The 15,864-nt window shown below is 48.2% G+C and overlaps 1 long non-coding RNA gene across 2 annotated transcripts, besides 4 other annotated features; it reads right to left on the bottom strand.

Annotated features, from left to right (window-relative positions):
* Positions 1 to 435: 435 nt before the first annotated feature.
* Positions 436 to 12,181, bottom strand: LINC02697 (long intergenic non-protein coding RNA 2697). Of its 2 annotated transcripts, none has more exons than NR_187396.1 (2): positions 11,873 to 12,181; positions 436 to 6,704 (listed from the first exon to the last, which is right to left on the bottom strand). It is a non-coding gene; the product is annotated as a long intergenic non-protein coding RNA 2697 (long non-coding RNA). The 2 variants fall into 2 exon arrangements; NR_187395.1 differs by lacking the exon at positions 436 to 6,704 and adding an exon at positions 11,602 to 11,773.
* Positions 1,063 to 1,563: an enhancer, noted in NCBI's record as "H3K27ac-H3K4me1 hESC enhancer chr11:134831501-134832001 (GRCh37/hg19 assembly coordinates)". NCBI's record gives its function as "activates a minimal SCP1, AML or CMV promoter by ChIP-STARR-seq in primed H9 embryonic stem cells {active_cell/tissue: H9 hESC(primed)}" and the evidence as "EXISTENCE:reporter gene assay evidence [ECO:0000049][PMID:30033119]".
* Positions 13,111 to 14,310: an enhancer, noted in NCBI's record as "BRD4-independent group 4 enhancer chr11:134818754-134819953 (GRCh37/hg19 assembly coordinates)". NCBI's record gives its function as "activates an origin of replication core promoter dependent on BRD2, P300/CBP, MED14 and CDK7 cofactors, and independent of BRD4, by STARR-seq in HCT116 cells {active_cell/tissue: HCT116}" and the evidence as "EXISTENCE:reporter gene assay evidence [ECO:0000049][PMID:35650434]".
* Positions 14,863 to 15,363: an enhancer, noted in NCBI's record as "H3K4me1 hESC enhancer chr11:134817701-134818201 (GRCh37/hg19 assembly coordinates)". NCBI's record gives its function as "activates a minimal SCP1, AML or CMV promoter by ChIP-STARR-seq in primed H9 embryonic stem cells {active_cell/tissue: H9 hESC(primed)}" and the evidence as "EXISTENCE:reporter gene assay evidence [ECO:0000049][PMID:30033119]".
* Positions 15,364 to 15,864: an enhancer, noted in NCBI's record as "H3K4me1 hESC enhancer chr11:134817200-134817700 (GRCh37/hg19 assembly coordinates)". NCBI's record gives its function as "activates a minimal SCP1, AML or CMV promoter by ChIP-STARR-seq in primed H9 embryonic stem cells {active_cell/tissue: H9 hESC(primed)}" and the evidence as "EXISTENCE:reporter gene assay evidence [ECO:0000049][PMID:30033119]".

The following is a 15,864-nucleotide window of genomic DNA, read 5'->3' as shown; positions in this document are numbered from 1 at the left end:
CTGCTATGAAGAGTAGATATGCTGGACAAGGAATGATTCATATTCCATGAGGGACAGAGCAGGACAGCATGAGATTTTATCATGCTACCAGAAAGGCGTGCAGTTTAGAACTTGTAAATTGTTTATCTCTAGAATTTTCTATTTAATATTTTTGGATCTCGTTGACCACAGGTAACTGAAATCCCAGAAGGAAAAACCTCAAGTACAGGGAACTACTGCATTAGGTTTGGCTTAAATCAAACTCCATTTACTGATGAGTTGGGCAGTTGGGAGAGGGAGTGGGTGTCCATCTAGGAAAGCGCTCTCTCAGGTCAGGACCATGAATGGAACTGTGTGACGCTTGGTTCATGTTTATTACTGCTTAGAAAAGTCTTCGAAGCTCAATCGTAGGAATAATGTCAACCCTAACCACAGCAGTAATTCATACTTCTTCTCTTTTTGTTGGTATTAACTTTATTACTTATTTTATGGTATAGGCCTTATCGTAAATGTTTTTGTTATAAAACAGATCTCATCCTTTTTTGGGGTTTGGGAGGTGGGAACAGTAGAACATGAAGATACATAATAAGTCCCATACAATAGTTAATAATAAGTCACCAACAGGATTATTCCTAACTCCAGCCCTCCAAATGCTGGGGCATTGATGTATGTGTGCAGGAATGGTATCAGACTAGACACAGACTGGCATAGAGCCTGGCAAGGTGAAGGCAATGCACCTTATAAAACAGTTACAGTAACATCTATTGCATACATGAGAACCATTTGCAGCAGATTAAATTCCCTTAAGAAAGGAGGCTACTAGACAAACCACCTCAACACCAAAGCAGGGTTTGGTCGGCATCTGACAGCGCTGGGGACGGTGGCCAGATGTGAGCTCTGTGGACAGTGGCCAGATGTGAGCGCAGCGGACGGTGACCAGATGTGAGCGCTGCGGACGGTGACCAGATGTGAGCGCAGCGGACGGTGGCCAGATGTGAGCACTGCGGACGGTGGCCAGATGTGAGCGCTGCGGACGGTGACCAGATGTGAGCGCAGCGGACGGTGGCCAGATGTGAGCGCTGCGGACGGTGGCCAGATGTGAGCTCTGCGGACGGTGGCCAGATGTGAGCGCTGCGGACGGTGGCCAGATGTGAGCGCTGCGGACGGTGGCCAGATGTGAGCGCTGCGGACGGTGACCAGATGTGAGCGCAGCGGACGGTGGCCAGATGTGAGCGCTGCGGACGGTGGCCAGATGTGAGCGCAGTGGACGGTGGCCAGATGTGAGCGCTGCGGACGGTGGCCAGATGTGAGCTCTGCGGATGGTGGCCAGATGTGAGCTCTGCGGACGGTGGCCAGATGTGAGTGCAGCAGACGGTGGCCAGATGTGAGCGCTGCGGACGGTGGCCAGATGTGAGCGCAGCGGACGGTGGCCAGATGTGAGTGCTGCGGACGGTGGCCAGATGTGAGCTCTGTGGACGGTGGCCAGATGTGAGCGCTGCGGATGGTGGCCAGATGTGAGCGCAGCGGACGGTGGCCAGATGTGAGCGCTGTGGATGGTGACCAGATGTGAGCGCAGCGGACGGTGGCCAGATGTGAGCTCTGTGGATGGTGACCAGATGTGAGCGCTGCGGACGGTGGCCAGATGTGAGCGCTGCGGACGGTGGCCAGATGTGAGCGCAGCGGACGGTGGCCAGATGTGAGTGCTGCGGACGGTGGCCAGATGTGACTCAGCGGCTCTCGTTGGATCTGACAGCGCTGTGGACAGTGGCCAGATGTGGCCCAGCGGCTCTCCTCAGGCTGTTTCTTCCAGGAGCATGAGCTTCTTCTCTATTTCGGTGAGATTCTCTGCCTGAGATGGGTGTTCTGAGGAGCATTCAGAAATTGTTTGTTCTGAATTTCTAAAACATGAACTATTAGAAAAGGACAAAAAGAAATCTACAGACTGTGGGAAAAGTTAGTGTCAAACAAATACAAAAAGGAAAAGTTGAGAACAGCAAAGGGTGGCTGTGTTATGCGGAAGTGACAGAGTTGAAAAATGATGCATTGATAAAGGGACAAAAAAAATCCTTAGGAGGAGGAGGAGCAGGAGGAGAAGGAGAAGGAGGAGAAGGAAGCTGAAATAACCATTCTTGGTTATATATGGATTTACATTTCTTCTTCATTAGGGTTGTTTATTGCAGCATTTCTGCCATTTTTCCCTATCAGTTTCTTCTTATCCAGAGACCCTGGAGTCTTTGCCCAGGGGCCACTGCCTGGTGATGAAAGTCATATTGTTCAGCTTCCATAAACAACATCCACTCTCATGATTAGCTTTGGAAAATCAGCTGAATCTTAGCCTTTAGCTTCACAGTGTATGTATGTCTGTCTGTCTATTTAATTTTTACAAAAAGCTGGGAAAATCAAATACTTAAAAATAACAATTGAGTAATTTCAACAAAAGATTGTAATCAGATCAGGCTCTTGGGGAATGCAGAATCAGGACCTCTCCCTACTCTTCTCACCACTAGTTGTTGCCATGCTATCTTATACTTTAAGTGTCTGAGTATTTAAATCTACCCACTAAGCATATTTCTTTGTTTCCATAAAATGAAATGAGCAGATTTATGGACAGATGTATGAGTTTGTCTCAGGGTCTAGAAATCTTTTTTTCTTTCTCTCTTCCACCTAGGTCCAAGTCTATAATTTAAGTTTTAAACTTTCTAAATAAAAAGTTGATTTTAAATTTAGCATTAGCAGAAGGTCAGCAGCAATCAGCAGTGTTGGCTTGATGCTGGGGGAGAGGTAAAGGGGAAGGTGGCGTTGGTGTGACAAAAGTGGTGAAGGGATGGGGTGGGAAGCCATGTGGGTGAGAGGAAGGTAAGGAGGGAGGAAGCCTGTGCCTTCAGTTGGCAAGATCTTCTGTTCTTAAAACATCACTTTGAGTTATTGAATGTGTTAGTCCATTCAGGCTTCCATACCAGAATACCATAGACTGTCTTACAAACAACAGAAATGCATTTCTCAGTTATGAAGACCAGAAGTCCAAAATCCAGGTGCTGAGAATTCAGTGTCTGGTGACGGCTTACTTCCTGGTTTATAGGCAGTCGTCTTGTCACTGTGTCCCCATATGGAAGGTGAGAGAGCTCTGTGGGGTCTCTTCTAGGAGGGCACTGATCCCATTCATGAAGGCCTCACCTTTATGATCTAATCACCTCCCAAAGGCCCCACCTTCTAATACCATCACCTTAGGTGTTAGGAGTTCAACATACGCATCTTGAAGAGACATAAACCATCAGGCTGCAGCATTCAGCTCCGGGCCTAGAGTGCTTCTAACATGCAAAATACACTAATTACATCCCAGTAGCCCCAAAATCTCAACCCCATCAGTGTCAACTCTAAATCTCAAATCGGAAGTCTTATATAAATATCCTCTAAATTAGATATGGCTAAGACTCAAGGTAAAAGTCATCTTGAAACAAATTTCTCTCTAGGCAGGAATCTGTGAAACTAAATGTTATGTGCTTCCAGAGTAGAGTAGTGCTGCAAGCATAGGACAGACATTTCTCCCGAGACAGAAATAGGAAAGAAGAAAGGAGTGATGGATCTCAGGCAAGTCCAAACCACAAGGCAAACTCCCTGGAATGAAGAGCGTTGAACCCGATTTCCTTTGGCTCAATGCTCTGCCTTCCAGGCCCACTGGAGCGCACTGCCCACTTGCTGGGCCTCCTGGGTTCAGCAGCGTTTGTTCATTCCTTCCCAGGTTGGGATTTTCACATTGGAATCTTGGAAGGAAACAAACTTTCAATCTACGTCACCGGATTATCTGTGAAGCTATGCATGCTGTTTCTTAAATGTCTATTCACTCATAGACAACTCTGTATTTTATATCTGACTGCTGCAATTTTATCATTTACTAATTTCTTTCTCCAGGAAAACCACAGTACATAGGGAGTTAATAGATCCTAGGCTCTAGTGCTGACTTGATCACAGGTTTCTGTCTTTTGCCCTCTGCATACCTAGGTTATGCTGTACAAGTAGAAGCATTGTACTGATCTCTTCCTACCACACTGAGTATCGCATGATATCCTGAAAGTGATCTAGATGAAGTTTTTCCAACATCATCATGACCTGCCGGCCCCCACGCTTCCCAGTGCAGCAGAGCCCTGACCTCACTCTCACAGGCCTTACGTCCCCGGAATCACGTAACAGCCACCGCCAGGCAGTCATCGCAGAGGTAGAATTCTATGTATTGAAACCAGATTTCCACAGCTTTATTCACTAGCTTGAAGCTGTAGCTGAAAATTTTATCTGCTTTTAAAGCAGAAAGAAAAGCATATAGGAGCAGAAACGTCAATTGTTTCTTGTAATAGGGAAAGAAGAACATTTCCTGAAACCTTTATAAAACCCTTCTACATTCCAGAACTGCATCAGATGTCCACACTTAGGGGCCGAGAAGTAGAATTCCAGGAGTCATAAGGAAATATTCAAGTTGGTAATTTTATATAGATTTTAAAACCGCAATCTGCATCTCTCACCTCACTTCCACACTAGACTGGAATTCCGCGTTCTCTCTCTGACACCCTCCAGCCACAGTTCCCACAGTTATACGAGGCCTCCTAGCCCCATCCCAGCCCTCGGTTACCTCTGCGGGTGGAGGAGATGGGGAGGAAGGTCTGTGGCTGAGGGGATGAGACTCAGTGAGACAAGAGACCTGTGCTTCCTCCTGGGTCGACCGGGGCTGAGTTCACAAGCTGGTCAGGGCTGAGCTCTAAGACCACGTTCTGGCCACAGGCCACCTTCTGGGTCGGGGAGCAGCAGGGACCGCCCCGCTGGAGCAGCCAGGCCCAGCCACACTCAGCTTTGCCCACTAGTCAAGCCCAGCCTCACAGAAGCGGGTTCAGTAAGCCCCCCATGCTTCCCCAGGGAAAGGGCTGCATTTCATTTATGGAGGACGGTGGTTCCTCACAGGAGTGGGCAGACTCTGGAAGCCTCTGAGGGGTGAAATTCTGCAGCCTGGGAAGGCTGAGAGGCAGGAAGGTTGAGGAAAGGGGGCACGGCCGACCCCTGACTTCCACAGGTCTCCTGCTGGTCAGGGTTAGGTGGAAGGGGGAGCTGGCTGGCTCTGAGGGGCATGAACCTCTGAGGGGCACGGACCTGAGCTCCCTGAGGACAGGGGCCTTGGGGTAGGTGGTGTCCAGCAACTCACCTTCATCTGGTCACCTGAAGAAACCACTTCAGGGCATAAATACTTCTCTGAAGCTGCTCGAGAGTATGGTCAGGCATCTGCTCTGCCATCTGTGAGACGGCTTGACACCCTGCCCTCTCTTTTGGGAAAGTGAGAGGTGGCCCCATGGATAGAGCAGGGGAAACAAAGTGGTGTCGGAGACTCCGGACTGTGTGTGCTCATGACACAACACCCGGGAAGGCTTAGCTGTGGGAGGGGCGGCCTCTGGTGACAGCCGGCATGGCTCCAAGCTGACATCCTGCCCTTCCTAAGTTCCAGCTCCGCTGCCACCTGCCAGTTCCCATAGCCGGGCCAGCGGAGGGGCAAGATCAGTGGGCTCTGAGCACCCACTGCGAGGGGAGTCCTCTGCCAAGGACCCCTGGTTCTTAGCAGGTGCTTGGAGAGCGGGTGTTTGCAGGGATTTGGTTAGCTGTTGATAGGAATTTGGGGAAGGGGAGGAACAGGAGGCTCTGAAGCCACGTGGCTCCTGCTTCTATCCTCCCCAGCAGTGAGGAGAGAGTATAAGGAGCCCGTCTCCATCTGCTGCACCTCCCGCTCTCTGCCCACCTAGAGGTCCCAGGGCCACTCTGCACAGCCAGGCGGGAGGAAGGACTCCCGCTGTATCGTGTGCATTGGCAGAGGGACAGTGCCGCAGTGGGGATGGGGTGCTCACCCTCTCTGGAAACTCCTCTCTCCTCCCCCCAAATCACTTCATGCTTGGGGCCTTTGCTGCTCCTCCTCCTCTGCCCATGGGGCTTCTTAGTCTCCAGAGACCTAAGTTCACATAGGGCTGGGCAAGATTGAGATCAGGGGACTCCTAACACAGCCAACTTGTCTCAGAGTTTCCAAGAAGACCCCCATGCAGGGGCAAGGGTATGGAATGTAAATTGAGTCACCATGGGGGATGCAGGTCTGTGCTGCTGACATAAGCTGTGTATCTTCAGGGATGCGTTGACTCAGGGAGGGAGGCAGCTCTGGTGGACACGCGATGCTATGCAGCCAACGCCTGCGGGAGATCACGTAGCTTTATTAAACATGTTGATAAATTCAGTCACACGCGAGAGGAAACCCTCTGTGAATCGCAGCATTTCAGGAATCCACTTCATGAACCTATCCTGGGCATAACAGAGTGGCAGCCTCCTGGAGTAGAACTGCGATCAAACAGAAAGCCATAGAAGCTCCCTTGGTGTAATGGTGATTGCCTCTTGTGAGGATCAGTGCATTTCCATTCCAAAAATTCTGGGTGACACACTCCATGTGCCTCAGACCAGGACACTGATCATGGGCCTCAGAGGATTGCAGTTTGGAGCAAGCCAGTCTGGGAGAAGGGGCTGGTGTCTGAGAACATGAGGATCTGCACACGCGGTCACATTTGGAGTGACTGAGAAGCCTCTCTCATTAGAATTGCATGATGCAACTGCACAGAGACACAGTGACCTTTTTCCACTTAAAAATCCAAGTGAGCATCAAGGTCCGATGAAATCCTTTCATCAGAAAATAACTTGCTTTGGTCTGCTGAGACCTAGAGGGGAGAGAGGATTTAGAATTCTTGGACCTTTCTGTGTCTTTGTAGATTGTTAATGCATTTATTAAGCCATTTCTAAGTGTGTCTACTGCTGGTGCGTGTTTCAACCTTGAATATCACTAAAATTCATTTTCTCTGCTTCAAGCCAGTGTTCTGAGGGGGAAATGCATTCTGTGCCCTCCATGGCAAGCTTCCCTCCACCCCTCATTTTCTCTCTCCTCTTCTCCCTTCACCCTCTGCCCATCAATGACTTCTCTTTCTCCCTCATGCCCTGTCTCCCTCCCATCCTGCCCCTCTCTCCTCCTACCCTTAGTCTCTATTTACTTTCCCGCCCATACCCTCTCCACCCTCTTCTCTCTAAACAGATAGGAAAGAGGGTCCTGGTGCTGTGTTTCTTCTCCACTCTGTGCCTCTGTGCTGGAGGTGAGGGAGAAGAGTCCAGGACAGTGTTTGAAATGCTCGAAGGGTAAGAGGGGGTTAGAGAAGAATATCGAGAGAGTTGTTCTATCAAAACACTGGACTCTGCAGGTTGGCAGATGCCCATCTCTGCAGGACAGTAGCTGGTTGTATCTGAAGGGGCAAGAGCAAGTGAGCTTTAGCTCACACCCATCACTGTCAGCAAACAGGGTCTCAGGCAGCGTAAAGGAGGAGCTTTATTCTTGTCATTTTTAAGCTGATATCAAGCGATTTATCTTCATGCTTGATAACAACACCTCTTGCAGCTACTTTGACCTTCAGCCATCTTCTGCCCTGGCCAAGTTTATGGTGAGGCCACTGATCTCTGGCACCTGGCACACAGGTGGCTCAGCTCTCTCACTGTACCCAATGATTTTCATCAGAAAACAAGGAAAGCACCGCGTGGATTCCCTTGGCATGAGATCAGGTGCACACTGCCTGCTCAATGGGTCCACCACCCACCACAGACTCCAGCCCAGTGTCGCAGCCGGCGGGGCGGCACCCACTACTCTCCACTTGGCTCACTCCAGACCCTATTTCACATCCACATGGAGCCACGGTCAGGCGGTCTTCGGTCCCATAGAGGGAAGTAGAGACACAGATGGGTCACATGGCTACAAGAAGCATCCAAACTGATGAGGATCAGGATCCCAGGGAGTTGCCAGTTCCACTGCTCTGGGGCTCTGCAGGCTCCAGCAGAGGCTGTTACCAAATCCAGCAACCACAGCTTTACACACCATGGGGTCTCCAGCAAGTAAGCGCACACGCTCTCAACACTTCAAGCCAAAAAATGGAGGACAAGTACAGGAACACCACCAGGCTCCCTGCAAACATAACGGGCCAGCCCCAAATACCCCAGGAAGTGAAGTCTTCTTATGCTTTCAGAATTCAGGGCCATAAAGATGCCTGATGTAAACCCTCTTACATACAGGTGAGGAAGTTGGGCTCAGAGAGGTACAGCAATTTGCCCAAATTCACACGGGGAATTAGGGCCTGTGATAGCATCAGAAACTCAATCACATAAACATTGGCCCATGGCTGCCTCTGCCGCACTCTGTGGGTGTCTCTATAGTGGAGATGGTATTGAGTTGTTCAGTCAGGTATTACTGAGCATGTGTGGAATACCAGAAAGTCGGGCATTTCAGTGATGAGCAAATCAGTCCCTTCCCTCATGGAGCACAGTGTGTAGGACACACACTGTAAGCAAGTGAACGCTCACTCACTCAGTGGACAATGGACACACTGTCCACTACTGAGGCCCCATGGAGACCAGCACAGAAGCAGTGCCTGGGTCCAAGGAGCCTCCTTCCATCAGGGGGTCTACGGGAGGAGTAGCCAGGCCAGGACTGGCAGGGAGAGCACCCCAGCAGGGGAGGGCCTGTGTGGAAACTACACGGCAGAGGAAGACTTTGAGCAGCTAAAGGGGGTCAGTGTGGAGGGACTGGGCAGTGCAGGGTGTGGTATCAGGGGAACCTGGGAGGCCGGCAGGGGCCATGGCTCTCAGGAGCTTCTGGAACAAGTGAAGAAGTTTGAATTAAATACAAAATGCCACAGGGTGCTACTGATGAAGCGTAAGCAGAAACAATGTTATATAACATACGTTCTTAAAGATCACATGTTTGTATGTGACTGTATGTGCATGAGTGTGTGAGTGTGTGGTCATGGGTATGGAAGTGAGTATGAGTGTATGCAGTGCTGTGTGTGTGTGTGTGTGGTAGTGTGCATGTGAATGAGTGTGTGTGAGTGTATATGTGTGTGCAAGTGGAATAGACTGGAGGGAAGCAGGAAAGTGAGCAGGGTGTGTATCTGGCAGGCTGACACTGGCTGTAGCCACATCTGGATGAGAGGTGTCTGTGGCTTAGAGTCAGATGGTGGCCATAAACACAAAGAGGTAAGGAGAGATTCAAGGTATACTTTGAAAGTGAAATGGTCAAGGCTGAGAGATGTGTTTAAACTGAGTGATAAGACAACGGGTGGTGTGAATGGCAAGTCCCACATTTATGGACTCAAGCAACTGGTTGGGTAGTGGTGCCATTTACTAAGATAACCAAGACTTCAGTGAGAACAGGCTGGTGAGAGAAGGAGGAATTTGGGACACCTTCTCTGGGGGTGCCTGTGAGCTCTTTGAGAGGGTCTACAGGGTGGGCCATCTGAAGAGGGTGGGTCTGGTCTGGAGGTGAGGCTCTGGGCAGTGTTGGCAGGTGGATGATCCAGATGCCACAGCGGGAATGACATCACCCAGGGAAAGTCATGGTGTGGGATGTGGATTCAGGAATGACATCACCCAGGGAAAGGCATGGTGTGGGGTGTGGATTCAGGAATGACATCACCCAGGGAAAGGCATGGTGTGGGGTGTGGATTCAGGAATGACATCACCCAGGGAAAGGCATGGTGTGGGGTGTGGATTCAGGAATGACATCACCCAGGGAAAGGCGTGGTGTGGGGTGTGGATTATGTGCTGTCCTCCTAGAATGTCCTGAAGAGGCCAAGCTTTTCCTTAGAGAGCCTGGTGTCCCCTTTGACTTCCCAACATAATTGTGTGTTATTTAAACACTGCCTCCATCTCCACTCTGGTGGTGACTCTACCCTGCCTCAAACCTCTGAACTGTAGCAGGTCAGGTGGCAGGTCAAGGAAAGGACCTGCCATTTCATTGAGGTAAAATTGACATTTACAACTCTACGTATTTAAAGTGTGAAGCATGATGTTTTATATAGACATACATTGTGAAATGATTACCACAATCAAGCAAATTAACATATCCTTCACCTCACAGGTACTTGTGTGTGTGTGTGTGTGTGTAGTGAAAATACTTGAGATCGACTCTTTCCAAGTTCCACGTGTCAAACACATTATTAACTGGAGTCCCCATGCTGTACACTAGGTCTCCAGAACTGACTCATCTTATACCTGCAAGTTTGTGTCCTTTGACCTTTGACCATCATCTCCCTGTTTCTCCTACCCCCAGCTCTTTGTGGCTTTCATTCTACTCTATTTCAATGATTCCAACTTTTCTAGATTCTACATATAAGTGAGATCATGTAGTATGTGATTTTCTGTGCTTGCTTTATTTCATTTAACATAATGTCTTCTAGGTTTATCTATGTCATTGCAAATGGCAAGATTTTCTTCTTGTTAAGGCTGAAAGATATTTTAGTACGTGTGCCTGTGTGTGTGTGTGTGTGTGTATCACATATTCTTAATCCATTCATCTGCCAACCTATGGAATAAAAGACATCATTTTCAAACCATATATCTGAAAGGGGGTTAATATTTTAAATAAATAAGAAACTCATACAGCTCAGTAGCAAAATAATAAGAGTAATAACCTGATTAAAAATGGGCAAAGGACCTGAATAGACATTTTTCCAAAGAAGACATACAAATGGGCAACAGGTATATGAAAAAGTCCTCAACTAATCATCAGGGAAATGCAAATTAAAGCCGCAAACAGTTATCACCTCGCACCTGTTAGGATGGCAATTATGAAAAAGTCAAAAAAGGTAACCTGTGCTGGTGAGGATGTGAAGAGTGAACCCTTATTCACTGAGGGTGGGAATGTAAATTAGTAGAGCCAGGATGAAAACAGCCTGAAGGTTCCTCAGAAAATGACAACCAGAGCTTCGATATGATCCAGCAGGTCCCACTTCTGGGGACAAACCCACAGGAAAGGAGGTCAGTGGGTAGAAGAGCTGCCTGCCCTCCCATGTCCACTGCAGCACTGCTCACCGTAGCCAAGACAGGGAAACAACCCAAGTGTCCCTCAGCAGAGGCCATTTGTTTTTAAAGCTAACAGGCCACACCTGGCCATAGCATTGTTTTACTTTAAAAAAAAAAAAACCACGTTCTAGGGGGGTGAAATCTGGGTGTACTCCCATCTCACATTAGCATATAGTACTCCACTGCAGAGCATGTGAACGCGGCAGCTCAGGGCAACCCACAATTATTCTATGAAAATGGCTGGCTGAATAACTATACATTTAAGCAAGTCTCAACCCCACTGTGTCTCAACCCCTACTGCCTGTGCTATCGTTAGGAGGAACTGTCCCAAGTCACTCTACCCCGTTTTGCCCAGAACCCTTCTGGTGACAGGCAGCCTCAGTGCCTTCTTCCTCCTTGCTTTCTTCCCTTATAGAGTTCAAATCTCACGTCTGTAGGTTTGTTCAGAACTAACCAGCAAAACTGCACCCAGCTGTGTTCCTAACATCTTCCACGTGCAGCTCTGCGTATCACAAGGAAAGAGATTCCTGAATGTACAACCGAGCCACACCAAGTACAAATCTGCGCACCCTAAAATCTGCCCACTCCCTGTAGTAGCTGCTCCTGCAGCTCTCGCTGTGGGCTCGCATGGCCCCTTCAGCTGTCTAAACAGAAACATTGGCATCCCCAGCTCCACTCCTTTAGCTCCTGCGCAGTGAGAAAGAAAGAGCGAGTCAAACATGAAATCCACTAATATATTAATTCAGCTCAGCAAGCAAAACCCATGAGCACCCAGCTCAGCAGAGCCTGCCAGGCATGACTAATCAGACCCTGGCTGAAGCAACGCTCTCTTCCTCGGTCCTCTCTGGAAGTGTGCTGGTTATGCAGCTTCTTCCTCTGAGCTCAGGAGACTCTGAAAAATGCAGTTTAAAAGGATGTAAATTAGGAAAATGTAAATACCCCTGGCTCCCTCACACAGGACTAGGTTTTGTGGTGGGGGAAGTTGCTTTACCTCATCGAGTCTTGGTTTTCTCATCAGTGATGACTTGCAGAGTTTTGTATGAAGTCCCAGGGCCCTGGCCCCACTACAAGGAGCTTGAATTTAGCAGGTCTGCAGTGGGCCTGGGCAGCTGTATGTTTAAAAGTTGCACAGTGACTGCGATGCTACCCAGCTGAATGGCATCAGCTTAGCTCATGGCTTCTCAGAAGCGATGTGCAGACTCCGATTCAATATCTTCAATGTAGGCTCTGAGGTTCTACATTTCTAACAGCTCCTGGAAGGGCCAGTGCTGCTGGCATGTGGACAACTCTTTGAGTACACAGGTTCCAGGTCTGTGGCTCCCGGTCTCGGCTGCACTTCAGATTGGGCCAGCCCCTCCTGACTGGATAAGATCTTATGGGACTGTTGGTGAGGAATCCCTACCCTAGCCAAGCTGTAGGAGTGTGACTTAAGCTGGCTGATTATCTGGATCCTCTGTGAAAGTTGATCCTAGTGCTCAGTGACTCAAAGACTGTGGAAAGTCAGAGCTCATGAATCCAGATTACAATGACATGCGAGACTGTTCCTGGTGCCCGAGATTCAGTTCCCAGAGCTACTATGGCTTATTAGGTACAGGTACAATTTTCCTTTTGTAAGATGCTCCATATTATTCCAAATATGGCCTTTTTTATTTGTAGAAAAAATATCTTTTTGTCACTGACAATTAAAGAAACATAACTGATATTTCTGTAAGATGTAACATCCCATAATTCTGCTCTCCCTGCATCAACCTGCATGTTCGTGTTATCTTCCTTATGGGGAAGAGGGGATAGCCACCACCTGCCTGGCCCCACACCTCCACCCTCACCTGAAACCCCAGGCCTGGAGAACACACTTGTCACCTCCCCTGCCTTGTGTTTGAGTTTCTCCCTCCGTAAAGAAGCGCTCTAAGGCTGGATGTTGATAAAATGACTCCACTGATGGAGGAAAACTCCTGCCCAGCTGACTCTCACTTCTGGGAAGGACTGGTCATGGTCAAATTGTGAAGGAGCCAAGGCTTAAAGAAGGCATTTCTTTATTCTTTTCTTTCAGTTATTTGTTCAGTTTTCATCTCCAGCCTCCTGGAGCATTTGCCTGATAGGAACCTATTGATGAAACGTGTCCCAAAACCCTTCACCAAAGAACAATTTATCCGTCTAGATCTTCAGTCCCGTCTGCTTTCTAATATGACCAATAGACAATGAAGTGTGTAGTCAGTATTGGCTATTGACACCAACAGCCAATAACAGCTTAATTACTCACTGTTCTGAGGCTGCGTGCTCTGATCCAGAGAAGGATTCCAGCAGTGGGTTTTAGGCACGTTTCCCAGTATCAGTCAGTATCTGGGAGAAACTTAGGACTCTTATTTCTCTCCCCCTTGCTTCCACGTGTCCCATATAGACACTTTATTACTAATCGAGGGTGAGTTGGGTGGCAAGTAATAACACTGCACATCCCACATGCTTTTCTTACAATGTAAGCTTAACGTACCAGCCGTGGAATGATGATGTCTGTCCCCTCTCATTCAGTCTGGCTGGATCTTTGCGACTGCCCTGATTAATGGAGTACAATGAGAAGGACATGATTTTACTCCCAAGGCTAGCATGCGAAAGGTGATATGGCTTCAGCCTGGTTCTCTTGGGATGTTCACTCTTAGAAGAAATTTGAAGAACCCCAAACAGCCACATGGAGAAGCCACAAACAGATATTCTGGCTGGCAGCCCAGCAGAGGTCCCAGCCAGCAGCCAGCATCAACTGCCATGTGAAGAAGTGTGCCTGCAGGGGGGTTCAGACCCCAGCTGCCAAGCTGCCTCCAGCCTCCCGGTCTTCCAAGCTGAGGATGCAGACAGTGTGGAGCAGAGATAAACCACCCTACAATGCTGTTCTCAGATCCCTGGATTGCAGAACCCAAGAGCACTACAAAACAGTTGCTATTTTACATTGCCAAGTTTGGGATTGCTTGTGGCATCAAGGACAGGAAATTCCAAGCTCTTGGTCAATGCTTAGTCATAGTGTCCTGGGTTTGTTTTCAGAGAAAACACATGACAGAGTGGCCCCTTTTCTCTCTTACCTCTCCAGTGACTGCAGCGGGAAGTGCCAAGGGCCAGACAGGCTTTCTCTCGGAAAGTTCTCTCTTCCTAATACAGCAACCAGGCTTGGCTGGTTTTGTGCTGAGCACTGCAGACAAACAGGGTCCCTTGTGCTGTGACTCCATTTCCTCCTGCTATTGTAGGAATTCTCTGGCCTGGTTGATGGAGTCAAGCTTAAGGTCTGGTTGTGAGTGCATAAAAAGGAATATACTGCCCAGCACTTGGTTCTAAGCTCTGAGCTGCCTTATGCATATTCTCATAAATTCTCATGAAGAATTACCTATTGAGTCCAACATAGTTTAATGGAATTCTGTTTGGAGGCTTGGAACCAAAGTCCCAATTAATAATAAAGCGTTACTTTGCTTTCCTTTGCCAGTTTAGCCTATGCATGTATTTTCCTTAGAGAGCCCATGGAGGAGAGAGAGGTGGCTAAAACAAGAAGAGATCTGTGGATGACTGCATCTCCCAGCCAAAAGACCACTCAGATAGCTTCCATGAGGATGACTGCATCTCCTGGCCAAAGACAACTCTGATAGCTTCGATGAGGATGACTGCATCTCTTGGCCAAAGACCACTCTGATAGCTTCCATGAGGATGACTGCATCTCCTGGACAAAGACCACTCTGATAGCTTCCATGAGAGCTCCCTGGGGCATCCATGGAGAAGATATTTTTGAGGGAGAAATCCCCAATGCATCTTGAATCTTGCAGCCCACACAGGGATTTCCTACAAGCAAACCCAGCCTTGAGCTATAAAGACCTGATCACTTTCCTGGGTGAAGACAGCAGACTGACTCAGTTATTCTGTGGATAGGTGACTTGATCAATGAGTTGGCGAGAAATCTAAGATGTGTCTTTCAGGCGCATATCTCAGATTTGTAAAATTATTATTTATTTATTTAATTTTTTTTTTTGGGATAGAGACTCACTCTGTCACCCAGGCTGGAGTGCAGTGGCACGATCTCAGCTCAATACAACCTCCACCTCCCAGGTTCAAATGATTCTCCTGCCTCAGCCTCCTGAGTAGCTAGGATTACAGGTGCCTGCCACCATGCCCAGCTAATCTTTGTATTTTTAGTAGAGACGGGGTTTCACCATATTGGCTGGGCTGGTCTCCAACTCCTGACCTCGGGTGATCCTCCCGCCTCAGCCTCCCAAAGTGCTGGGATTACAGGCTTGAACCACCGTGCCTGGCCTCAGATTTGTAAGATAATTTACACAAGACTCGGTGTCTCTGCATCTCACACTGGTTGTATATTGCATTAAACGGGTGATAATTCTCCCCTAATCAAACTGTGCCCATATGCTGGCAAGGACATTCATGTTATGAAGACAAGAGGTAGCTGAAAAATAAAGAGACAATAGCCACGAGACAGACCCAGAGGTCAGGCAGGGCAGGCTTGCCGTGAGGACACGGCTCATCCCACGGGGCCTGGGAACTGGCGGTCACAGCAGTGCAAGGTCCTGTTCTCTCCTCCGCAGGGACAGACAGGCCACCAGCCTGACAGAGACGGCACTGGGGGCAGCTGCCAGGAACAAGCAGGGATTACACTAGGATTTCTCAAAACCCGTCTCACAGAATACACGTTTTATTAAAAACTACTACATGAAGATTCTGTGTTCAAGTGAGTTTTGGAATGAGGAAGATCTGCAGCCAGTTTCACATGTAGATTTCTCCAAAGGATTTGGCCACAGACATTTAATTCTGGGAAACTTAAAGGCATGCTGATCATCTCAAGGTATTAAAAATAAATTTTTCTGAATGGTGGGATTATAGTTAATTTGCATTTTTCCTTTTGTTTATCTGTGAATCACATATTTTGCATAATGACTATATATTGCTTTTGTGGTGGAGAAAATATTTTAATGCAATGAAAACTCTGGTCTACCTGAGGTC

This window comes from Homo sapiens, chromosome 11 (genome assembly GCF_000001405.40).
Source record: "Homo sapiens chromosome 11, GRCh38.p14 Primary Assembly".
Classification (NCBI taxonomy): Eukaryota; Metazoa; Chordata; class Mammalia; order Primates; family Hominidae; genus Homo; species Homo sapiens.
This window is presented reverse-complemented; position numbering and strand designations above follow the sequence as displayed.